Source organism: Homo sapiens, chromosome 3 (assembly GCF_000001405.40).
Source record: "Homo sapiens chromosome 3, GRCh38.p14 Primary Assembly".
Taxonomy (NCBI): Eukaryota; Metazoa; Chordata; class Mammalia; order Primates; family Hominidae; genus Homo; species Homo sapiens.
In genome coordinates, this window is record NC_000003.12 from 23,802,243 (window position 1) to 23,827,633 (window position 25,391).

A 25,391-nucleotide genomic window follows, 5' to 3' on the forward strand; every position below is an offset into this window, starting at 1 on the left:
GGGGAACTTCAATAGCAGTCATTAGTTCAAGCAACCATGTTACAAATTCAGTGATTCCCTTAGCTTGCTTCCATGTTCCCACTTTCCCAGCTGTCTTGATTGTTAATATATTCTCGAAAATATTATCAGAGACTACTATATTTATTTTATTTATTTACTTATTTTGAGACAGGGTCTCACTCCCACCACCCAGGTTGGAGTACAGTGGCACAATCACAGCTCACTGCAGCCTCAACCTCTGGGGCTCAGGTGATTCTCCCACCTCAACCTCCCAAGTATCTGGGACCACAGGCATGTGCCACCAGGCCTGGCTAATTTTTGCATTTTTTGTAGAGACAGTCTTGCCATGTTGCCCAGGCTGGTCTTGAACTCCTGGGCTCAAGGAGTCTGCCTGCCTTGGCCTCCCAAAGTGCTGGAATTACAGGCGTGAGCCACTGCACCCGGCCCTTTTATATTTAATACATTTTTCTGCAATGTAATTGAGGCTCTTCTCCCACTCCAATATTGCCAGAACTGACAAGATCATCTGTGGATAGCATGGGTCATAACAACAATTTTGCCACCAACTTACTGCATGACCTTGGATAAGACATACTGGCTTTTTTTTTTTTTTTTTTTTTTTTTTTTTTGAGACAGAGTCTTGCTCTGTCCCCAGGCTGAAGTGCAGTGGCGCGATCTCGGCTCACTGCAACCTCCAATCAAGACTCGCTGGTTCAAGAGATTCTCTTGCCTCAGCCTCCCGAGTAGCTGGGATTCCAGGCACATGTCACCAAGCCTAGATAATTTTTGTATTTTTAGTAGAGACGGGGTTTCACCATCTTGGCCAGGATGGTCTCAATCTCCTGACCTCGTGTTCCACCTGCTTTGGCCTCTCAAAGTGCTGGGATTACAGGCATGAGCCACCACGCCCGGCCAACATACCGGCCAACATAACTTTCTTTGCTTTGATTTCTTTATCTGTAACATGAAGAGTGTGAACTAGAAGATATCTTAGGCCCCTTCTAGGCATAAAATACTATGATTCCTTGAGTATATGTTTCTCCTGGAAGGTTTCTTATATTTTCATCAATTCTAAGTTATAAAAACCCCATGTCCTCTTTTCTGCCCTGGTGACGAAAAACAAAAACATAAAAGCAACAAATAACCCCAAACCCATGAACTAAGAAAATTCCACTAGAGTGGAATTATTAATAATTTACTTTGCGTAACAGCTAATAAATCACCTTACTTACAGATACATATTTGACCTTGCCAGTCAGTAGAGCACAGGTATTTCTGCCCTTTATGGATGAGGGAACTGAGGCTCAGGGAGGTCAATTTAGCTTTTTAGGCCTTGTAGTTAATAAGAAGGAGAGATAGAAAGTTGTGTATGAATTTTTTTTCCCCTAAGACAGCTGCATACAGGTCTTAAAAATAATTCGACATAAAGATTAGTCTTTTGAGAGGACTGGATTCTTTTCTAAACATTTTGAAGTTTTTATTCCCTGTCATCAGGTCATTCCAAAACGATAAAGCACTAACTTAAGCTAGCTGGAATTAGAGATTAGGGGGAACAGTACACAAAAGAGGGCAAGAAACCTTCCAGACAGGTGGTTGGGAAATCACTTTTCCTTATAGGAGGAGCTGTTAGATTTCATGATTTCTTTCACAAGGAATCAGTCCAACCCAAGCATCAGTAACACAACACAAAATATCATGTTCTGTTACAAAAGAATTCTTATTATAGCTGGTAGGCAATTTATGCAAACCAATATTAAAGAAAAAATTCACCTACTGTCCTGATCACTTCAGCAAATCAAACCTTTTATTTTCCTGTGATCTCTGCTAGTTCTTGTCTTTATAACACATGATTTTTTTACTGGTTGTATTCATAATGTAGACATATATTTTTAAGTATCAGAAATCCAAATTTTCATAGGAGGAAATTTCAATTTTAATAACTATTTTTAGATTATTTTCCTCATCCTGAGTTTATTTCATCTTCTTATTGTTTTCTTCTGAATTTACATCTTTTCATCAGAACAAAAAGAATACAATCAGTTTTTCAGAAGTTTAAAAAATTTTTTCAAATATATAGCAAAGAATGTCATCATTTTTATATACTCTACCAGGACTCCTGAAACCAAACACTTAAGAAAGGTTATGTCTGGAAATTTTTTCAAAATCTATATGCATTTCAGTGGTGGAGAAATAGTTCTGTCTGGAAGCAGGAGGCTGAAATTATGACCCTGAAGATTTCTTCCAGCTTTTGAACTTCTTATTCTATGACAACTCCTGGTAGATACAGGTTTCCTGGTAGGGATTGAGCAAGAAGCATGCACAATTACTTTATGAGTCTTGATAAAGCTGGAATTTCAGGTTGATGGTTAGAAGGAGTTCGGCTGGGTCGTGAGAATGCTTGTTTTCCTGGTTACTGGATATGCCATGGGCTGTATATCTTGTGTTGTCCTGTGGTAACTGAAGCCACTGTTGCTGTGGAAAATGATGGCAGTTTGAATGAGATAATTTAGAGTGACCTATGGAAATCTGAGGCTGTCTCCTTAATGTACAAGACCTTGTATGTGTGGCACTGTTGTATTTGAATGGCACACATCTCTTTAGTTCCCTTCAACTGAAATGACAAAAGGTGAGAAACTGAATCGTAATTTGATGGCTTAATATTAAAAAAAAATTGGCAAAAATGCTAAATAAGGAACAATTCAGAAGAATTGCTGATCATTTCAAAAATATTATTTGCATAGCATTTATAGGTAGCTAAAGAAAGAGAAAAATGGCTTAATATTTTAAAAATAATTTGGTCAATTTAGCGATCTGGGGATTCTGCGATCCCCAGAACTTTGCATCCAATTTCCAAAAACCAAACCTTACATCTAATGTAAAATGACACAAAAAATTCTAAATCCAGTCTAATTCAGTAGTATATAGCTTATTCCCAGTGATGTCTCACATTCGCAAGCCCGTTACACGTTGGTTTTACCTGTCACCAAAACCTTTGTATCACTCTTATAAAAAACCACATCACTTTCTATAAAAAGTGAGTGGAAGAATCTAATATTGTAAAACTGCACGTGCCTCGCGTGACCTGAGCAGAAAATTCCTAGTTTGGGATTTTCTCACAGGCATACCTAAACTGACCTCTGCTCCTAGCAGGTAAATTGCTAGAAGGAGAAGCAAGTGTCAGTCCAAAGAAAACCCTTGTTGTGTGATTTTTTTTTTCTCTTTAATCGCTTTTTAGGTGGAGTACCCGCTGCATTCTCTAAAGTCTTTGCCACCACCAGATTACCAACGTTTTCACCAATTTGCCACCTCCCTACTCCTCTCCTTTCCAAAAGCCCTCATTGGAAAGAACTTTCTCTCGTGACCCCCCTATTCCATCTAGTTCCAATCACTCCCAGCGCCCCCCATCTCCATCGGCTTCCCCTCTCCCGCCCAGAATCCAGGTTCCCAAACCACTTAAGAGAAAATTCACAACCCTCGCCCCCTTCCCGGGCGTCCGGAGGAGGCGCTGGGGTGGGGGTGTCTGTGGGGGACAGGGTTTCCTGGGGTCTCCTGGGTCTTCCTCGCGCACCCCCAGGAGGTGTTGCAGGGGGAGGGGAGCGCGGGTGGGTGGGACCGGGCCGGGTGGGGGAGGGGTGAGGGCGAGGAGGAGGAGGAGGAGGAGGCGGCGGCGGAGGAGTGGTGTGTGTGCGAGCGTGTGTGGCTGGGGGAAGCCATTGCCTGTTTAATAGTTGCTGTTGCTGCACTTCCGCTTCTCTCCCAGCGAGAGAGAGACACGAGTGGCCAGGCCCAGCCGCAGCCGCAGCAGCAGCCGCCGCGGCGGCACGGAGGAGCCAGACACAAAGAGAGGTACGGGGATCCCCCCAGCGGCCCGCCGCCCCCCGGCCGCGCCGCCGGGCCTCGGGGACACCCCTCGCCGCCTCCCCCGACTCGCGCCGCCGGGGCCGCCGGGCCGCAGGGCACGGGGCCGGCGCGGGGGGGGAGCGGAGAGGGGCTGGGGAGCCCCAGGGGTCCGGGGCCCGCCCGCGGGGGATGGGCAGGGACCCCGGGCCGCGTGGGGTGCGGGGGCCGCCCGCATTGAGGACGGGGGTCATTGTGGCTCGAACTGTCAGCGCTGCCCCAAGAGCCCCCCACTGGCCACCGAGGGGCCCGGGAGCGGGGGTGGGAGGGAGTTGGGGGAGCCCCGTTTTCCCCAGGGGCGGGGGTTCGCGGGGATTAACCCCTCCGGGGCGGAAGGGCTCATTGTTATGTCTTCGCTGCGGAGGCCGACCCCCCCATTCCCCGCCGCAGCCCCTATCCCCCTACAGGAGTGGCGATCGGGCGTGTGCTCCGGACCCCCGCCCGGCCGCATAGCTGTGAGCAGGGCGGCCAGAGGCAGGCAGGCCGGGAGGGGCGTCGGGGCGCGGCGCGGGGGGGCCTCGGGCCTCGTCGCCCCTGCCCCCCGCCGGCCTCTCCCTTCCCCCACCCGGGCACCCGCTCCCCGCCTCCGTCCCCCTGTTTCGGCTTCCTCTCTTACTCCTTCCCGCCCCTCCTCTCTTCCCGACCTCGCCAAACTCCGCTCGTGGCCCCACAGTCTCACCCGGGCCACCGGCCCCTCACGACCCCCGGAAAGCGGACAAAAACAGCCCCGAGGCCGGCCGGCCGCCGGGACCTTCCCTCCCTGCCCCGCCGTGGCGCCCCGCGCCCCCCGCCCTGCCCTCCTTCGCCTCCCGGGCTACTCCCTCCCTGCCCAGCGGAGAGCCCCGGGGGGCGAGGGAGGGGCCTCTCTCCTAGCTCCAGACCGTTTTCCCACAGCGTTCCCCACTTGGGGCCAAAAATAAACAAGCCGCGTCCGATTTGCAAAAGCCTTAATGGGCCTGCAGACTTTGAAAAGCGAGTGGAGGGCGGTGGGCGGCCGCGTGCGCCCCTGGTCAATGCCCTCCTGACAGCACCCGAGTTCCTTATTTACACTGGCTGCATGGTTTGTGTGTTTCTGTTTTGTTTCTCTCCCCCTGCAGGGGCTGTTTGCGGGGTGGGGTGGGGGGTTCGCTATGTCGGATGACGATTCGAGGGCCAGCACCAGCTCCTCCTCATCTTCGTCTTCCAACCAGCAAACCGAGAAAGAAACAAACACCCCCAAGAAGAAGGAGAGTAAAGTCAGCATGAGCAAAAACTCCAAACTCCTCTCCACCAGCGCCAAGAGGTACTGTGCTCTTTTTTTTTTCCACAGGCTTCCTATTTCCGAACTGCCTCTTGCTGCATTTGGTCTGCCTCCCAATGAGGATAGCTTAAACGCTCCTCATGGTTTATGTGTTCTTAAAAATGAAAGAAGGGCCTTGGAAGCCCTAATTATTTTCTCTATTGCTGCTTCTGTTTTTAAATCATTGCTCACATGCAGCTGTTGCGGCTTGCCTCTCGCATTTCTTGCTGAAGTTTGTAAGATTCCTCGTTACTTTTATTAGTGACCCCCAAATCTGATTTCAGATTTCTTGTCCTACTAATGGTTAATCTGTGACCTTCCCCAAGGCCATGATCCCATTTCTTAATTACTAATACCAGCCCAGAGAACTGCATCAAAATGAATTCTGTGACCATTTTACCTTCTCCTCACCTGTTGCATGGATGATCTTTTCTAAATAGAGCTTTCTTCACAAATTGCATAAGGAATAAGAAACTCATATTAGCAGGTACAAAATTTAGTAGGTGAAGACAGATGTTTTCTGGTGGAATTTAAAGAGATTTTTCTGAGAGTTGAGGCAAATGAATGAATCAGTAAGTGACTATAAAATGGTTATTCTAGGTTATTTTTGTGGTTCTCTTTAAAAACTTCAGTTTACCAATTTCAGGGAGACTTGTCTTTTTTTCATGCTATTTGCTGTCCTCATGCTGTGAAAATGTTACTTTGCCTTATTTTTTCAATTTAAGTGGTCTCCCTTTTACTTTATTCTTTTCCTCTTAAGGCCCTGAAGGTAGCTACTTTTTATCCCTGCCATCCTAAGCGGTCACCCTTTTTCTTTATTCTTTTCCTCTTAAGCCTCTGGAGGTAGCTACTTTTTACCCCTGCCATCCTTCAGTAATATCCTCTGATCGCCATGACCCTCAAAATCATCTTTAGTGGATTCCTAGGAGCTCTGAGACACCCTTTCATAAATCCTTCTGCTCTCAGAGTTAGGCAGTTGTTAAAAAGGTGGCAAACCAGGAAGATAGTAAGAACTCCAAATGATGGGATAGGGATACCCTTCTTAAAAATTTTTAAAATAAAGTAGAACATGAGACTTTAGATCTCTCCACTGAGTAGTGAGCCTGGAAGTCAGGGTTTGAGAGTTTGTTCTGTCATTCTCCCTGACTTGTAATTTGAAAACTTGGCAGTGTTTTGGTGACCTAACCATGGGCTGATGAAGGAGTGACTTTTAAAAAATAGTGTGGAGGTCTTAAGTGGCAAGGTGCCTCTGCAAGATTGTTCTCATTTTTATAGGTTTGGTTTGATTGTACAGCTTCTCAGGAGGCCTGACTGACCCTCACTGATTAGCCCTGTGCGGTTTTCCTGGAACCTGACATCTACTCTGCCCACTTGGGACGGGCCCTTCCTTAATACTGCGCCCCACCTCAATCCTCTAGGCTCTCTGATCCTCATTCACGTTTTGGCCTCACGTGCTCAAGCCAGGATACTTGCTTTTGGTAATTTGCATTTTTATATTTTGCTAGATATCCCTGGTGTACATGAATATATTTGGGGGTAAAGACACAGGTATCAAATAGAAAATACTCTGCTTTTGTTGTGAGTGAATTACAGAGAGGGGGATTTTTTTCACTAGACATACTTTGTTTATTTTAAACAAGTTAAGAATTTATTTGGAAGTTCTGGAAAAGAGATGATAGGTGTAGAAAAATGAAAGGTGGGAAGCTACAAATAGTAATTTTACCTATAAATTAACATCAGGGCTTTTGTTTTGTTTTTGCAATGAATTTAGCTCCTTGATAATCTTGCTGAAAGAGTAGCTATTAGTGTTAAAGCAGACCTAAAGTTAATAGAAAAAGGTAAAAAAATGGAGAGGGACAGTGTATCCAGGAAAGAGAATGGGGAAAATTGATGTTAGTGGGACCCTATAGAGGCTGTTCTGTGAAGTATATTGATTTGGAAGGTAGGTGTTGCCCATAGAATTGGAAGGGGCACATTCACCAGGAGTAGGAGTGAAAAAGAAGCCTGAATTGGCAGACTAACAGGCTGCTAACTGCATGTTGGAAAGTGGTTTCTAAACCGTGGGTAGAGGAAAGCCCCCATTGCAAGTGGTCTGAACAAGAATGACTCTCTGGAAATAGGTATGAGTTACTCCTGCAAATCTCTTGCCAGTTTTTTGGAAATGCAAATGCTGTCTGTCAAGATGAAGTTGATAAAGCTTTTTGGTATTAACGCTTCTTAGGTATTAAAGAAACAACTACCTTTTTTTGTGACTATTTTATAGTGGGAGTTGGGTTGGCAAGGAGGACTGAAGTCAATATGTATTTTTATATGCGTTGTGCTCCGGGGAGGAAATTTTTGCCTACGTGTGTAGGTCTTAAAATACAGTTATTTGAAAAGATTCAGGTAAAGAATCAGGAAACCAATTTTCCAAACTTTGAGTCTAATGTACAGTCATGAGTCAAACAGCGGGAGTATGAATGTCTCAGAAATGAAACGCTTTTTGATAGTAGAATTTAGCAGGACACAAATACGTGTCAATTGAGATTGTGAACAAACCCCTTTCTAAAGTTGACAGATACGTAGGGACAGGAAATGTCCTCCAGTAGGAAGGTTTATAGAACCTCCCCCAGTCGTCGTCCTTAAAACCTGTTCCTCATTACATATAGCTCGTCCGTCCTCCTACCCGCAGAAAACCTTTGGAAAGGAAAACGTATCCTTTGTGAATTAGATTGCTCTGTGTGTGTGTTTAAAATTTTTTTAACTACAGTGCTGCCTCGGTGAGATTTTTAAGTTGTAACATAGCCCCATTGGGCTTTATATGATAGGAGGAGGAAAGGTTATAAAATTAGGCACCGTTTAGAAGGTGGAAGAAGCTTAGAGGCCCTAAACTGTCGTATTAATTGATGCTCTAAGTGCCTAGGTAAGCAAAAGACAAAGGCCAGGGCTTGGTGTGAACTGCCTGGTGGCTTCGGCCTATGAGTGGGGGATGGGGCCCTTTGTGAAGTCGAGGGTTGGTGCGGAGGGAGAAAACTGCAGGTCTCCAGTCTATCCCCAGTGTGAGCTAGAGAGCGGACCATGAAGGAAGTGGGCAGACCCCGGGAAGTTAGAGGACGCCCGGGGAAAAGCAGGTCCGGGGAGGTGGGCCGAGAGTCCCGGCCAGCGTGCGGGGCGGAGGCAGGGTCCGGTGCACCTGTGCGGCCGCGGGCCGGCCACTTGGGGTCTGTGGTGCCCGAGTGGCGGGCGGGGGTGTTCGCGCCCTGCTTTCGCGCGCGGTCTCGGGCCAAGGTTCTGGGCGCCGGGAGAGGAGAGCTGGGGCGGCGCGGAGCAGCCCCCGTGCGGGCACCCTGTTCCCCTCCCCCGCCCGCAACTTCACCGGCGCGGCGCGAGCCGTCGGGGGCGCGCGCGGGGTGGGGGCGGCGTGGCCGGGCGGTGGCAGCCCACCGCTGGGGAGCGACCTGCGGTCTGGGCCTCCCGGGCACCCCGCCACGGCTGGCAGGTCACTCGGGCCCGAGGGGCCTCGTGGGGAGCGGCCATGTTGGCTTCGTCACTGAGGACTCCGGGCGGGTCGGGTGTTGAGCGAGGCCTCGGACCTTCGGCCTGTCGGGGGCGCCCTGCCGGGGTGGGCATGGGGGCATCTGAGGGGTGAAAGGGGCAAGGGAGGCTGGAGGCTGGCGTCCTTCCCACGCACCGATGGCTGTGATCTCTCCGTGCTGGGGAGAGGTGCAGGGGAGGGACTGAGGAAACCGGTCGGCAAGTGAGAAACTTTAAAATTAGGTCCTACATGGAAAACACCGAGGAATAGAACTGCCCTGGTGTGCGAGGCAAGGTTGGAAGCCAAACTTTGCAGATGAGAACAGGAGATTCCAGGCTGCCTCACTTCCTCCGTGAAAAGTTTTTTTCCTAAACTAGGGACCTGAAGTTCTTGATGTGTAGTTCCTCTTTGCCCAGTAGAATCCAGTGATCGCGCTTAGGTTTATCTGCAGACCTGCACGCTACAGGTGGGAGGCTTCCGCGCCTTAATGCTTCTTGTGTTTGTCTTTCCCATTTCTCCCACTCCAGAATTCAGAAGGAGCTGGCGGACATCACTTTAGACCCTCCACCTAATTGCAGGTGAGTTGCTTTTCGGATTTTTTCCATTTTTAAAATTCTTCTAACCTTTGTCTTGGGTTTTTCTTTTTATTATATACTTTTTCTTTGATTCTTTGGCTAATGCTTGTTATGGCACTAACATCACGTAACAGCTGAAATTTATTAACCTGAGTATAATGTTTTGATGAGCCTCTGACAAGCTCAGTACTGTTGAGAAGAAGTAATGGATTTATTTGGAGTGGATTTTTACATATATGAAACAAAACTAAAGTAAATTTAAAGGTGTCTCCTTGCCTAATCATGGGTCTTTGATATGCCATTAAAGATGATGTAAAACCTTTCAGATGCGAAGGACATTTTGGTTTGGAAAACTGCTTTGCTACAGTAATCTCTTATTCAATCTCTGCTAAGCTAAGAGAACATTAGAGTTAAACACTGGATCTTCAAACTTACTCCATAGCATATAGATTTTTTATTAGACTTTTGGCAGAGCAATTCAGGAAACAATTTCTGGCTTTGATAAAGGTTTTCTTTTAAATTGTAGAGTTAAACTTTCATGGGGTGTTTTTTTCACTTGCTTTATTCAGACTGTATACATATGTGTGTTTCAGTTTCAAAACAAATTGAAACCAGCTTTCTAAGGGTTTGTTGATCACAGCTTTATTTAGAGAAGCCATTTTGCTACTGTTGAGTCAAGGTGGAAGACTTGATGACTTTACTAGATCAACAATGAAGTGAGGGTAACTTACAACTATGTATTAGAATAGAACCATTTATTTAAGGGAGGTCCTGTAACTCCCATACTTTAAAAATTAAGTATAACATTTAACCTAGTTCTCAAGATCGGCGTTGGAAAGGGATGTGAGATTTCAGAAATACTCTAAACTTATTGGTAGGAGTAGAAGTTACTGACAAAGTATTCAGCGGCTATACACAATTTTTAAGATGAGTGTGTGGGAATAGGTTGAAAAGCTAAATGAAGTATTTTGTTTAGTAACAGTGAACTTTGGAAACTAATTAGTGGATTAAATACAAAACTATTGCCGTTTTGGTTACATTCATTCTTAATGTTGATTAGGTGTGGGATGCTCTTCCGTGAAACTTTGTCCTGTTTTGTAAGGAAAGTCATTTTGAGTTTGAAATGCTCTTAAACTATAGTTTATAATTGGAACACTTAATCATTCTGGGGAATTCTTTCCTGGCTAATAATCTCTCAAGATGGTTGAGAAGTGGAAAAACCATAAGACTTAGGCCTAACTCATTATTTTGATGGTGGTGGTTCACGTGGAAGCCTGTAGCTTCCCTTGGTTGTTTGTGTGGAATCCATGTACATTCCCCAAGGTGGTTCTGTGCTGTCTAGTTATTGCTCCTGCTTGGTATTGTGTGTCTCCTATGTGTGTGTTATTAATAACATTGATTAAAACATATAATGGCTTTCTTGTGAATAAGCACAGTCAAATCTAAAATTGTAAACCATTTGAAGATTTTCATGGGATTAAGCATTTAAAAAAAAAAAACAGTGTAAGTACACTTCAGTTTCACATCGTTTTAACTGAGTTTATGTGTGAAAGATTTATGCTCCTGAGGCATGTGGAACTTTTTTATCTTTGGGAAACCCTCCCAATTACCCCTTCAAGGTGAAACGTTTGGGAATTACCTGTGGTCAGGGGATGCACCAAACTGGGTGGCTGTTGGGTGATTGGTGTTACGGAGTCAAAGCTCAAAATACTAAATTTTAAGAAAAATCTCTGATTTGAGAGAAAATACGAGGCATCTTCATTTTGCAAGAGAATGTATATTACATTGTCTTTTAACAATAAAGATGACTTTATTTTCTGAAGATATTTTCCAGTGGGGCCGTTTGAGTAATGTGAATTAAAATTTTTACTTTTGGTTGGCTAATGGTGCTGTCTTAATGTTATATAGTAGTCCCAATATTCAGCTCTCTTAAAAGAGTTCGGTTTTACGTTTTGTGCTGTTACCTTTTGGAATTTAATTATTTAGTATTTTAATGTACTTTATTGGAGATAAAGATGGATTATTTATTTATTTATTTATTTATTTTCTTTTTGAGACGGAGTCTTGCTCTGTAGCCCAGGCTGGAGTGCAGTGGCATGATTTCGGCTCATTGCAACCTCCACCTCCCGGGTCCTGGTTCAAGCAATTCTCCTGCCTCCTGAGTAGCTGGGATTATAGGCACGTGCCACCATGCCCAGCTAATTTTTGTATTTTGGGTAGAGATGGGGTTTCACCATGTTGGCCAGGCAGGTCTTGAACTCCTGACCTTGTGATCTGCCCGCCTTGGCCTCCCAAAGTGCTGGGGTTACGGGCGTGAGCCACTGCACCTGGCCTTGGGGATACTTTTTGAAGTCAGCGTCCAATGAAAATCTATGAATTAAGTGATATATTAAGTGCGTACATGTTTAAAATTACCCTCAGCATGAAAGCATGAGATTTGAATGAGTTAAATAATTGGTTTTCAATTAGTCTGTCTTATATTTTTACCCTTTGCCATACTTCCTTTCTTCAGTCAGCATTCAGTGTGTAGTTTTAAACACGTTATTAAAATATGGCACTTGGCACATAGTAACTTCTCAGTAAATACAAAAATTAGCCGGGCATGGTGATGCACTCCAGCCTGGGCGACAGAGTGAGACCCTGTCTCAAAAAAAAAAGTTGATTATTGCAAATCAGTAGAATTGCTCCTCTTGAAGGAAGGTGCACTGTTTGTGTTCACTAATTTTGGCACTTGGCAAAAATATTTGAAGTTACTGAGCATCAAAACTTATGTGAAATGCAATTGCTCAATATGTTATAATGTATGAAAACATAAAATTAAATTCTTAATGTTGTATATTATGTTGGGTGGATATTTTTTAGAACACAGTACAGATTGTGTTCAATGACCTGGTCCAAAGTCATTTTAAGTAAGTATTTTCAAACTGCTTTATGTTGCCATAGAAATCAAATTCTTAATTTTAGTATCTGTGATTTGTGTGTGTGTGTATATATATGCATACACACACACACAAAATAGTTTCCCAACTCACTCTTCATTTTGGTTAGGCTTTTATTCCCATATCATTTAGCTCTATTCTTTTAGGGAAAAAAATATGTTAACTTTGTAATGATTCCCTAAAGCGTGCCAGATCTTAGATTGTAAAATTATGCCTTTTAGATAGCTGATGAACTCTGGGCCACCAGAGTCAGTTTTGCAGCTGTTATTTATAGCCCAGGGCTCAAACTTTGCTAAATTGACTAGTTATAACTAGCCTGTAGACACGAATATCTGTAGACAGTATGTCTATACAGACTAAATGGCATATTTTGCCTAAGTCCTTTAAACTTCAGATTTTATTTAATGGATATATTTGTTTCATGAGTAAATGTCTCAGTGACTTAACCTAGAAATTCAGATGGGGTGCTATTTTAGGATAAAATGTCTGAAAAGTCATTAAACACTTCAAGCATGGGTGAGAATAATAAAAATACATTTCTTTCTTTCTCACTTTTTTTTTGAGACAGGGTCTCATTTTGTCACCCAGGCTGGAGTGCAGTGGTGCTCACTGCAGCCTTGACCTCCTGGGCTTAAGCTGTCCTCCTGCTTCAGGCCCCCAAGTAGCAGGAACTACAGGCGTTCGACACTACACTCGGTTAATTTTTTGTATTTTTTTGTAGAGACCAGGTTTTACCTATTGGCCAGGCTGATCTTAAACTCCTGGCCTCAAGCCGTCCACCCACTTTGCCCTTCCAGAGTGCTGGGATTACAGGCGTGAGCCATGGTGCCTGGCCCTGATACTAGTTTTTCTGTATGTGACAGAATTTCCATTTAGCCTTCTTTTGATAGCTTTTTTTTCCCTAACACTGCCTATATTTTAAATAGTTTTAAGCCATTATATTATACAAGAATGCATGTTTTTGAAAAATTCAAATACAGAAGTTTGTGGAGTAAAAGGCAAAAGATAGTCCTGATGACCTCTTCTGATCCTGCTCCTTGCACACAGATGCTCCAAGTTAGCACTTTGTATACTTCCACGTAGTTTCTGTGAATTTACATTGTGTTTTTCTGGCATTCCAATACCTCCTCGAATTGGTGGTAATGGTAATGAGATGTCAGTTCAGAAGTCCCAGGCTGCTCATCATGGTTCACAATGGAAAGAGATCCTTTTCTTGCAACAGTGGAGTGTTACATACCTCGTCCAGGTTCAGCATGTTTTAAATGGTTGTTTGGGTATAAGAAATAGGTTCAGCAGAAGTCATCCTTTATAAAACCCTGTATCTTATGTGCTAAAAAGTATTCTTCCTTTTAGCATCTTTCATTTATCTGATGTTACTAAATGCGTTAAGGATAGAAGTGTGACTTAAACATCTGAATGATGTTTAGTTTCACCATTGCAGTGTGTATACCTTTATGCATGTAAAGGCAGTGTTGAAAAATTGTGACAACCAGGAGACTGGGGTTTCAGCACGATCAAAACAGCACCCATACTAGGGTCAGGCTGTTGGGAATTAGATCATCACTGGGGCCTTTCCTATTAGAGAGGAAAGAAACCCTATCTGGAGATGAATTGCCTTTCAAATGAGCAGGAAGTCTTGTGGCGGTTGTGTTTACCAAAAGACTATATCTGGATTGTAAAACTGTACTATTGTTATTCCTCAGAAAGCTAAACAGAATTACCGTATGACCCAGTAATTTTACTGCTATCTATGTACCCTGAATAATTAAAAACAGAGGCTCAAACAGATAACCTGTATGTCAGTATTCATAGCATTATTCATAGTAGCCAAAAAGTGGAAAAAACCCAAGTGTCTGTCAACAGATGAGTGGATAAACAAAATTTGGTTAATCTATAAACTGGAATATTCATCTATAAAAAGGAATGAAGTTGTGATGCATGGATACAACATGGTTGAACCTTAATGTTATACTAAGTGGGCTGGGCGCAGTGGATTACGCTTGTAATCCCAGCACTTTGGGAGGCTGAGGCAGGCGGATCACGAGGTCAGGAGATCGACACCATCGTGGCGAACACAGTGAAACCCCGTCTCTACTAAAAATACAAAAAAATTAGCCGGGCATGGTGGCGGGCACCTGTAGTCCCAGCTACTCAGGAGGCTGAGGCAGGAGAATGGTGTGAACCCAGGAGGCGGAGCTTGCTGTGAGCAGAGATCGCACCACTGCACTCCAGCCTGGGCAACAAAGCGAGGCTCCATCTCAAAAAAAAAGGTTATACTAAGTGAAATAAACTAGAACCAAAAAGACAAATAGCGTATGATTCCACTTACATGAAATACCTAGAATAGGCAAACTCATAAGGACAGACAGTAGATTAGAGGTTTTCAGGGACTGAGGGGAGGGGAGAATGGGGAGTTATTTCTTAATGAATACAGTTTCTTTTTGAGGTGGTGAAAGTTTTGGAAATAATGGTGATGGTTGCGCAATATTGTGAATGTAATTAATGCCACTAAATTGTACACTTAAAATGGTTAAAATGGCAAATTTCATGTTATATATATTTTATCACAATAAACAGTTATACCACTGTTAAAATATTAATCAGTATTTTGAGAAAAATGCTTATAGCTTAGAAGGCAATACTCACAGTTTTTGGGGATTCTTGTTAAATTCCTGTCACAAACTTTGAGGGCCTGTTATAAATGAAAAGGCACAAGCTGGGCATGGTGGCTCACGCCTGTAATCCCAGCACTTTGGGAGGCCAAGGCGGGTAGATCACCTGAGGTCAGCAGTTTGACACCAGACTGGCCAACTAAAAATACAAAAATTAGCCGGGCGTGGTGACGCGCGCCCGTAATCCCAGCTACTTGGGAGGCTGAGGCAGGAGAATTGCTTGAACCCTGGAGGCAGAGGTTGCAGTGAGCCAAGATTACGCCACTGCACTCCAGCCTGGTTGACAGAGTGAGACTCTGTCTCAAAAAAAAAAAAAAAAAGAAAGAAAAGAAAAGGCACTGCCTTCAAGGAGTTCATAATCTAGTCAAGATGTTAAGACATGCACACACATATTTTGAATGGTACTTGGAAATATAAATATTATTTGGAAAATAATAAAATGCAGATATCATGTTATAAAGTTTCAGAGGAGTGAGAGATTACTTTGACTTGGGTTTGAGGGATTGTGGCTGGAGTACTTAGTGATCTGGGAAGGCTTCATGGAAGAGGTGAGAAGTGGGGTGGGGAAGAATAAGGGATATTCGTGATGGAACAGTGTAAGCCAAGACAGCAGAGGGAAGACAGAAAAAGGGCACTATTGGGCAGAAGTGAGTAAAAGCTGTGTCTAGAGAGGAAGAAACATTAGTGGGAGAATAAATAGTAATAGATAAAGCTTGTGTTCTTCAGTGTCAGGCTAAGTCTTTAAATTTTATTATGTAGATGCTGGAGAATCATTAAAAACCTTTTGAGTAGGGGCTGTCATTCAGATAGAGTTGGCTATCTGGATAGAGACAGAGTAAGGATTGAGTGGAGCTTGGTAGGAACCAGGAGACTTGGAGATTGCTACAGTAGTTAAGGTGGAAGGTCAAGAGGGTCTGGGGTGTAAGTGGTGGCCTTCAAAGTGGAGAGGAAAGAGAGGTAGAAGACAGTAGAATCCATAGAACTTAGCCACTGATTTCGATATGGAGGACTTGAAAAGGAGTCGGGTTCTTCTGGGTGTTGGGGAAGTTGGTGGTGCATTAACAGAAATAAATAAGGCAGGAGGATGAACTGGCTTGAGGGAAAAAGGTTTTGTTACTTGCTTCGTTGATCACATGCAATGCTTAGCATGTTGCTGCCACTTAGTAGGTCCTCAGTAAATATTTGCAGTTTGACTATATATTTGAGTTTATTATTAAATCAGTCATTGAACTCCCAGATCTACATGGCCTACTTTTAGATTAGATTAGACAAATTAAATAGATTATAAACTTCCTAAAAGGGAAGGACAATGATTTCTGTCTTTGATTCTGACCCTACATGTTCTTCCCAACTGCTTTAGTTTGACGATTTTCACAGCTACAGGAGATGTTAAAAGAATGATACAGCAAGCGCCCACCCTTCACCGTGATTCCTCAGCAAAATTACACCATGTTTGCTCTGTCTCTCTCTTATCTCTATATGATAATTTTGTGGAGTCATTTGAAAGTGAGCATTTTGATGCTTCCGTGTGTTTAGCTTTGCACACATTGAATCTGAGGTGGCCTGACGGTGGAGCTGAGGCTGGAACTGGTTTTGGTAGTCCACATTAGATTTGAAAGTTTGGGTGATGTTAAAGTGCACAAGATTGCTGAGATTGGAGGAGGAAAGAATTGTGCTCTGAAGGATGTCTTCAGATGGAGGATGGGAAATGAAGAGGACTTGGAGAAAGGAGTAGGAGGAAAGCCACAAGGTTGCAAAAGTCCCTAGAGGGAGATCAAGGAAATTTTCTCTTGGGGCTCTAAAGTGTAAGAACTTAGGTGTATGTTTTGTAGGCTGAGAGGAAGAAGCAAATATAGAGAGAAAAAGAGTAAAAATTGCTAGAGAGTCCGGGCACGGTGGCTTACGCCTGTAGTCCCAGCACTTTGGGAGGAAGAGGCAGGCGGATCATGAGGTCAGGAGATTGAGACCATCCTGGCTAACATGGTGAAACCCCATCTCTATTAAAAATCCAAAAAATTAGCCAGGCGTGGTGGCACGCGCCTGTAGTCCCAGCTACTCAGGAGGCTGAGGCAGGAGAATCGCTTGAACCCGGGAGACAGGGGTTGCAGTGAACCAAGATTGCGCCACTGCACTCCAGCCTGGGTGACAGAGCGAGACGCCATCTCAAAATAAATAAATAAATAAATAAATAAATTGCTAGAGAGGCAGATGTAATGTTTTATAACATAATTGTAGAGAAACTGATGGCCCTAGAGAACTTAGGCCCTAAGTGGGAGAATGTATGTTTAGAAAGGCTGGTAGCCTGGAATTTTCTAGACGATTAGAAGCATTTTTGGTGCTTGAGTAGCACTCTAGGTATTTGTATAGAACTGAAAAGAAGCAGCATCTTTCTGGTGTTATTTGGTTTGTGTTCTTTCCCAGCAGACTTTAAGTTCCTCGAGAGTAGGGATTATTATGTCTTTATATCCCTACAGTGTCCGAGAAAGGGTAGGTAAACAATACATATTTGTTAAAACACAAAAACCTAATTTGGTCGGATGGTTTAATAGAACATCTTCATTACCCTCTTCAGAAAATAGTGGAAATTGCTGGGGAAATTGCTGTCACATTTTACAGCTGTCCATTGCTGGCAGTCTTTCTGAGTTGGCACCCAAGCAGTTTTGGCAATTTTGACCTTCCTGCAATCACAGAGAAGCTCTGGACGTCAGTGTGGCAAAAAAGATGTGATCTCTGCTGCAGGCTCGATTGAGAAAAGATGTATTGGAGAAAATATAACACCTTTGAATTGCTTGTTTTGACTTCATGTAAGGTTTATCATCTATGTAATGTGGCATAGACTCTTAGTCTACAGAGTTACAAATGGTAACCTTATTATAAAGTTACCTTATGTTAACAAGTGAGCAAGGGTCTAGGGGTGCTAAATACAGTGGGTTCCTAGAGATGGTCCCCCAAGTCCTAAAGCTATTCCAGATAGTTGGTTATGTTAGAGTTGCTGGCACCCGCCTGAGACATCTGACACATCCCATGTCACCAGTGAAGTGAAACTGGGTTTCATAATAAGCCCATTCTTATTCAGCCTCTTTTATGCAGCCATGCTCTAAAGTGAAACAAAAGACCTAGTAACTGGTGTCAGAATATGCTTCTAATCCTCTGGGAAACCTCCTCCTTTATAGGCTAAAAGCTCATCAAAGTCCCTGCTTGAGAACCGTAATCCAGGAACTTTGCTGTATGCTAATGGCTCTTTTCTTGAAACATATACACAGTGATTATGGATTGCTTTGTAGAGTCCATGCCACATTACATAGATGATCAACCTTTGGAAGGCCAAGTTGATGTCCCATCCCACTCAGGAAATCTTACAAAGCCAAAGGTTTTCACATACAGAACATATTTAAGTTGTCACTGGGTTTTGCTACAGTGACAGCAAACCATTGGGGCAGTGTGTTGTTCACTAATACTTTTAACAGAGTAGTTAAAAACTGAATTCTGTCTGCTCTCCAAAGTACATGCTGACCCAAATATGACAAAGTGAATGCAAAGCCCTCTTATATAGCATTCAAAGGCAGATTTGCCACAGGTGCCACATCTGACTTGTCTGTAGTGATCTGAGTCATTATTAAATTTTAAATAGTAATACAACGGAGTAGTCTTAGTAGAGTCTACTAGCATTGAAATGATGATCATTATCCATACTGCCAGTACATTGGCCATTTGTATTTATTAAAATTGATCGATGGAAAATTGGTGTGGGATGGACCTCTAGTAAATTCTACAGAAAAAGGCATTGAGGCACATTTCCAAACAGATGAGAGTAAATAGAGTAACTTGGGATGATCTTACTTGGAGAAAAGTTTTAGATGTGATGCAGCTCAAAAAGTCAGCATTATTATGAAGCAATGTTGTACATGTGACAGCAGCATGAGTAGATCAGATCGTAATCATTTAAAACATTAGAGTGTCTGCTGTGTGCTAGGCATTGTTCTGTAGGTGACTAAAACAGACCTGGCCTCTGGCTTGTGAAACCTGAATTTTAGTAGACAGTGCAAACAGCAGCTAAGCAAAAGGATTAGTACAAGTTGTAATGGCTAGTAGGAAAGAAATTGACAGAGTGCAGTGATGGAGAATAATTGGGGAGGGTGTGAGGGTTACCTAGAGAAGCCTTACAAAGACATTTGGTCAAAGACCTAAAAGATAGGAAAGGAAATGGCCTTGTGAAAAGTACCAGAAGACATCTGGGACAGAGGGAAGGTAAAAACAGGCCCTGAGGCGGGGACAAGTCAGGTGATGCTGATTATGTAAACCGTGCTAAGTAGAGAGTTTGGATTTTTCTCAATAATGCTTTAAAAGTCTTTTCCCACCCTCCCTGCTGCATGGAAAATAGCTGGGAGGAAGATGCTAGTGGAAGAAGGGAGACCAGAAAGGAGGGTATTGCTCTGTTTCAAGCTAGCTGGTGCAGGTGGCTAGGATTAAGGTAGTGGCAGTGGAGATATGGTAGAACACTGGGACCTGTTGTTGGATTGCATGTGAGAGATGAGGGACAGGAACAAAAATGACTCCAAGTTTCTGTGTTTTTTTGCAATTGGCTAGATGATAGTGATGTTTTACTGATAGGTAGACTCCTAGGCCTAGAATAGGGCCGTAGGGCGCGTGTGTGGTGGGTGGCAGGGGAGATGAGGGCAGGGTGGAAATGACTCCTTTTTGGACTTGATAGATTTGAAATCTGTTCCCATGAGGCATCCAAATGAAGGTGTCAAAAATAAGTTAGACATAGGTAATTGGAGCTCTGAGATACATACACATTTGTAAAGGAGACCTTACCAAACAGAGGCTCTTGGGTGTCTTGGGAATGCCTTTCTCTCTCCTAGAAAGGAAAGGCATCATGAGAAGAGTGCCCAGGATGAAGACTCAGGCATCTGGCATTTAGAAGTGTACACTAGGAAAAGCCAGCAAAGGAGACAGAAGGAAAATCAAGAGAGTGTGGTATTAGAAAGCAGTGAGTGGAAAGTTTTGAGGTAGAGTGATCAAGTGGGAAATGGTGCTGTGCAGTAGAAAAAGATGAAGACCAGCAAGTAACCACTAGATTTTACCTCAGGTTTGTTGGTGACCTTCACGTGTCAAACCTGGTTTAGAGGAGAGACAATGGAAAAGGAGGAATGATTTTCAAGAATGAAAATGTGTTTGTATTACTCTTCCTAGTTAAAATATTTCATTGTATTTATCCAGAAAAGTGATCTGGTGTTATCTACTTTCTACACTTTAGGGCAGAATTTCTTAACATAGTATATATAATTTTGTGGGGAGGATGGGGAAAGGGCCCACCATTTTCAGTGGATTCTCAAAGGAGTTTTTTTTTTCTGATCTCCCCTCTTTCCTCACCAAAAAAAGTTAACTTCTACTTTACGAGATTCAAGTCCTTTGTGATCTTTAGGTTAACGTTGTACCATGCATGTTACAAGTAAATAGTGTCAGGTTCATGTATTACATCTTGATGAATCTCTTTTTCAAGACTTGGTTTGAAATTACTGGATAAATTGGAAAATCAGTAAATTGCTGCTGCCATCCTTAAAAATATTTTACATGCTTTGATTTGCATCGACCTTTTGTATTCTGTTCAAGCTGGAGAATGCACTAGAATGAGTTGGATATATGTATTTACTTTTAACACAGCATAAGTTACTCATCATATTTAATGTTTTTCATCCCCTCCCCCATCCCCCCACCCCCAACCCCCGCCACCGCCCTTCCAGAGACGGAGCCTTGCTCTGTCGCCCAGGCTGGAGTGCAGTGGTGCCTTCTTGGCTCACTGTTACCTGTGCCTCCCGGGTTCTAGCGATTCTCCTGTCTCAGTCTCCTGAGTAGCTGGGGTTACAGGCATGTGCCACCACGCCCAGCTAATTTTTGTATTTTTAGTGGAGATGGGGTTTCACCATGTTGGCCAGGCTAGTCGAAAACTCCTGACCTTGTGATCCACCTGCCTTGGCCTCCCAAAGTGCTGGGATTACAGGCATGAGCCTCTGCGCCCATCCTGTTTTTCATCCTTTTAATATGGGCTGTTATGTTAATGCTTTACATTGGATATACTTAGAACTCTTAAAGCAATCATATAAGCATTGTCTTTTTAATTGTCCACTGATCATGTCTTAATAATTTGTTTCAGATTATGCCAGATACTCTTGGTCCTGCTTACCTTGATAATTGAGGGTAGAATTAAGAAAGTTTTAGGATTAGGAATCATTCTTCTAATTCAGAGAGTAATTAGTTGGAATCACAAAAGCATTAGGTGCTGAACTGCCAGAGACAAGCAACAAATAATATGTGGAACCACAACTGTTTTGGCTACGTAGGAATTTTGCTCCACAAGTAATTTAAATTGTTCCTACTACCACTTACAACCTTTCCTCCTCTATGGGGGTACATCTCAATTTTTAAGTTAATATATTAGAATTGGTGTTATAAAAATTTATTTCTTAGCAGACTTTGCTACAACACATTTATCCTAAATAAAAGGAGATTGTTGACTTTGCAGAGAAAAAGACCCTAAAAGAAAACATTTGTTTTATTACAAGCACCCAGGAGGATTTTTTATAAACATGAAAGATAACTTTCCTCTAACCTAAGTAAATATTTCAGAACCAACGTATGTTAAGTGATTATAGTAATGTGTGTGCAGAGACTGGCAGTAAAGTTAGCAGCGTCATATACTACTTGCTAGTATATCACACTGCTTTGGCCTTTTTCTGAGTAACCCTCTCTCTGGAAGTCTTCAGAATGCCTAACTTCATCCTTCAGGGAGACTGGTAGCCCCCGAAAAGACATTTATTTTTTGTAGCTTGGTATTCTGAGATGTTCTCACATCCAAAGTAAACACTGTCAAGTGATTTGGACCAGTCCTAAAGTAAATCATATATTGAGGACACAGTTCTTGTTAAAACTGAAATTTGAAGTTGTTGCCATTTTCTGCATTCACACTACTGGATTCTTTGTAGATGCGGGGATTTCTACTTCTACATTTTACTGTAACTATTTACATTTACCTGTATTGGGAGGAAATTCTATATTGTAGCAAGTTAAAACACATGATTTTGGTAAAAAAGTAAAAACTGTTAAGATCTTGGAGCCCAGACTTATTTGTTATGGAGATTTGGAGCTAGGAGGGACCCGATGCTCCCTTCTCTGTCTCTGTGTCCTGTTTATTGTGAGGTGTATATTGATAATGAATTTGTGAAGAAAGGCATTCTTTGATGACTTAGCAGAGAAAAAAGTGATAGTAATTTTATCCATTCTGTCTCCAGATGACTGGTACTATGTTTTACTTTCTCCTCTTTTCTCCAGAGCCACTCTTAAAATCTTTCTGCAGTTAATGGTTTGTTATAGTCCAATTTTCATTGCTTTCCAAGATTTGAACTTTCTATCTGAATGTAAGTCCCCCTCCAAAAGCAGTCATCTTTCAGTTCTGTAGCTCCTCTGATACTCTTCAAGCCCCTCAAGGAGCATTAGGTTTGAGGATGGTAACATTTACTCGTTGTCCTTTGACCTGAAGATGCGTAGAAAGAAATGCTATGTTGGATCTCAGTATACCTAATAACAGTCTTGCAGGCTGAATTTGCATTTTCCTTTCTGGTTGAAATCTTGTCAGTTTACTCATGCATTTCTGACTTTCTCCCATTCTGGTGTGCTTCCTCCCCTTCCTGCTCCCTTAAGAAAAAAAAAATGGTTAGCCAGTTCGGTGAAGTTTTCTCAGAAATTTCTTGTGGACAGTGCTAACTTAAGCCGGAAAACAGTTTGTGACACTTGACTTTTCAAGGAGGAGATAAGATTTTGTGTACCCAGACTGTATATATCAATTATTATGGGGCTAAACTTTGAAAGTATGACTAGTTCCCCAACAAGTATATACGAAACCTTGTAGGATTAGTAATTATATTTCTTGAATTAATTTTAAAAATATGTAACATACTACACACACATCATTTGCACCATGAGAATTGTCCATACTAATAAGAGATTTTTGTTTGTTCCAGTTAAATCTTACTCCTAGTTTTGCAAGTGTATTCAGGCCTGCATGGTTGTCAGTGACTCAGGTGGGGTGGGCAGGGCAGTCTCCAACCTGCCCCACCTGTGTTTCTCTGCCTGTTTACTTGTGACCTTGGCTGAGCAGTACAAATCATTGACAACACTGGCAGTGCTTTGGTCTGTGCCTGCCCTGGCTTATTCCATTTTTTGGCCCTTTGATTGAAGATGCAGTTACAACCAGTGGCTCCTGACTGTATTTAGTCATTCGTTCTGATATTTATCGGCCATTTATTGTTGTGCCAGGTACTGAAGATACAGCAGCAAAAAAGACACTGTCTCTGTGCTCATGGAGATTTTATTCATATAGAGGGAGGTACAATAAAAGAAACAAATGTACAAAAGTAATTTCAGAAAACAGTACCAAGAAATTAAAATAGAGTAAAATGGCTTGGTGAGTGACTGCGCAGGTTGGGACATTGGTTGGTGCCACATTGGGGAAATGACCCTGAATGATGACAAGGACCCAACCATGAGAAGGGCATTTTAGGCTGAAGGACAGCAGATAGAAAGGTGCTGAGTGGGGTAGGCCAGTGTGGCTGGACATAGTGAATGAGGGTGAGAGTGGTAGGAAATGAGGTAGGCAGGGGTCAGATTTTATTTGAATTTCAGTAGAAAGCCGTGGGAGAGCTTTAAATGGAGGAGTGAAATACGAGGTATTTGGAGAATACCTCACGTAAAATTTCCTACTCATGAAAAGAGAGAAGGCAGGTGCAGTGGGGCATGCCTATATTCCCCGCTGTTAGGAGACTGAGGCTGGAGGATCACTCAAGGCTGGGAGTTTGAAGCTGTGGTGTGTACTATGATTGCACCTGTGAGTGGCCACTGTGCTCCAGCCTGGGCAACATAGTGAGATCCTCATTTAAAAAATAGTATTCTGTTCAGTGTTTTGAAAAAATTGTATTAAAAAATAGAGGTTATGCAGATACTCTGTAAAACTTTTTTGGCATTATATGCAGTTTTACTGACCTTTATGTAACAGTTCTATTATATCTAGATATCTGTGTATCTAACAAATTTAGACATTTTGCAAAAACTGAAGACATGTTACCAAAAATTGGTGCCTCAACCAGTGAAAGGAAGTATAGCATTACTCAGCTGGTCTTGACGTAAAGGTTGGATGAAGTGTGAATGTTTGTAATGCATACATAATATTTAAAGCTAACAGAAACAACTTCTTAGTTGTCTTTGTAGTGTGCTTGCCTTGGTTCCTGGCTGTTCACCTGAAGTGAAGACAGCCTGAGTCTGGCAGTAGGGAAGCATCAAGAGTTTGGCTTCCTCCTCCTTCAGAGCAACAACAGCAAATGACACAGCAGGGAAACTAGGAGAGTTGGGCAGCTTGGAAACAGGGAACCTCAGCAGTCTGGGAGGCAGCTTGCCAGAACTCCTCCCAGCCCTCACTTGGTTATCTGTGATATCTAAAAGATTTATCTCTACAGTGTGAAGCCCCAAATCTGTGATATGACTATGGAGGGAGAATGCTTTCCAATTTTCTTGATTTGGTAGATACTTTTGTGGAGTTGTCATTTTTTCATAGTTTTTTGTTATGATAGCTGAAATATTTGTTCTGAAGGGGAGGTCTAAACACATGTAATAAGGCTAATGAAGAGATTGGAGTAGCAGTGTAATCATTCCTACACGTGTATTTTAAACTTTAGGTACTAAATCCCTTTTTGATATATATGCTATAAAAATGACTTATAAAATGAAATGTAATTCTAGCATATCTTAAACTGTTGCCAGGAGGTTTTTGGGTTGCACTGATAAGAAATTACATGATTTCTTGCAGAAGGGTCATTTGTCTTGCTAAAGGACCAGTTTCTCATGACTCCTCCCTCTCCCCACTAATAAACAGCTAAGAAAAGGGCCCTTAGGACATTTTTTTTCACTTATCCATTATAAAAAGTTATTCACAATTCTTAAAGGGACAAAATTTCAATGCAGACATAACATGGCTATTTGCTCAAAGGGAAAAACCACCAAATAATAAAAAAAATCAAAATACAAAAAAAAAATCCTGTATTTTATATTTTGCTTTGGGGTGAATTTTGGTAATTCTAAAATGATATGAATGCATGAATATATCCAGTATTCTGGGTGTTCATTCACTTTATACAGAATAATGAAGGAACAGTAGAAAGCCTGATTTATGATATTCTGGACAGCTTTTTAGATTTACTATACAAATTTTAGCTTAGTTTCTTTTTGCTTCACACTGTGTGCGGTGGAGATTTTAAAAATAGGATAAAGCTTTAATAATAACAGCTAACTTTATTAAGTATGTCAATATGATTGTTATTCTCATTTTATAAATGAGGAAAGAGAACCTTAAAATGCTTAAGTACCTTGCCCAAGGTCACTAGGCTCTTAAGTGGAGAAGCTGGTATTTAGGCCCTGGCCTTCAAAGCCTAACCATTATACTCTACTGCCTCTTATAGTGGCTTT

The 25,391-nt window shown here is 42.5% G+C and overlaps 1 protein-coding gene and 1 long non-coding RNA gene across 5 annotated transcripts in view, besides 7 other annotated features; one reads left to right on the forward strand and one right to left on the reverse strand.

Annotated features, from left to right (window-relative positions):
- Positions 1-1,781: 1,781 nt before the first annotated feature.
- On the reverse strand, positions 1,782-4,663 carry UBE2E1-AS1 (UBE2E1 antisense RNA 1). The gene is made up of 2 exons (NR_046652.1): positions 4,577-4,663; positions 1,782-2,472 (listed from the first exon to the last, which is right to left on the reverse strand). It is a non-coding gene; the product is annotated as a UBE2E1 antisense RNA 1 (long non-coding RNA).
- Positions 3,649-3,758: a silencer, noted in NCBI's record as "silent region_14140". NCBI's record gives its function as "represses an Ori minimal core promoter by ATAC-STARR-seq in GM12878 lymphoblastoid cells {active_cell/tissue: GM12878}" and the evidence as "EXISTENCE:reporter gene assay evidence [ECO:0000049][PMID:35858748]".
- UBE2E1 (ubiquitin conjugating enzyme E2 E1) overlaps positions 3,713-25,391 on the forward strand; it is an 85,686-nt gene continuing 64,007 nt past the window's right edge. For 2 of the 4 annotated variants that reach the window (NM_001202476.2, XM_005265431.6), the window contains exons 1-2: positions 8,212-8,286; positions 9,218-9,268. In NM_001202476.2, coding sequence (NP_001189405.1) covers positions 8,234-8,286; positions 9,218-9,268 — 104 coding nt within the window. In that variant the 5' untranslated portion in view covers positions 8,212-8,233. Of the gene's footprint in view, positions 3,847-4,994; positions 5,180-8,211; positions 8,287-9,217; positions 9,269-25,391 lie in introns of those variants that run through there. The other 2 variants (NM_003341.5, NM_182666.3) reach the window with 2 other exon arrangements.
- Positions 3,839-3,968: a silencer, noted in NCBI's record as "silent region_14141". NCBI's record gives its function as "represses an Ori minimal core promoter by ATAC-STARR-seq in GM12878 lymphoblastoid cells {active_cell/tissue: GM12878}" and the evidence as "EXISTENCE:reporter gene assay evidence [ECO:0000049][PMID:35858748]".
- Positions 4,159-4,458: a silencer, noted in NCBI's record as "silent region_14142". NCBI's record gives its function as "represses an Ori minimal core promoter by ATAC-STARR-seq in GM12878 lymphoblastoid cells {active_cell/tissue: GM12878}" and the evidence as "EXISTENCE:reporter gene assay evidence [ECO:0000049][PMID:35858748]".
- Positions 4,659-4,838: a silencer, noted in NCBI's record as "silent region_14143". NCBI's record gives its function as "represses an Ori minimal core promoter by ATAC-STARR-seq in GM12878 lymphoblastoid cells {active_cell/tissue: GM12878}" and the evidence as "EXISTENCE:reporter gene assay evidence [ECO:0000049][PMID:35858748]".
- Positions 5,139-5,228: an enhancer, noted in NCBI's record as "active region_19600". NCBI's record gives its function as "activates an Ori minimal core promoter by ATAC-STARR-seq in GM12878 lymphoblastoid cells {active_cell/tissue: GM12878}" and the evidence as "EXISTENCE:reporter gene assay evidence [ECO:0000049][PMID:35858748]".
- Positions 7,821-7,880: an enhancer, noted in NCBI's record as "active region_19601". NCBI's record gives its function as "activates an Ori minimal core promoter by ATAC-STARR-seq in GM12878 lymphoblastoid cells {active_cell/tissue: GM12878}" and the evidence as "EXISTENCE:reporter gene assay evidence [ECO:0000049][PMID:35858748]".
- Positions 8,351-8,670: a silencer, noted in NCBI's record as "silent region_14144". NCBI's record gives its function as "represses an Ori minimal core promoter by ATAC-STARR-seq in GM12878 lymphoblastoid cells {active_cell/tissue: GM12878}" and the evidence as "EXISTENCE:reporter gene assay evidence [ECO:0000049][PMID:35858748]".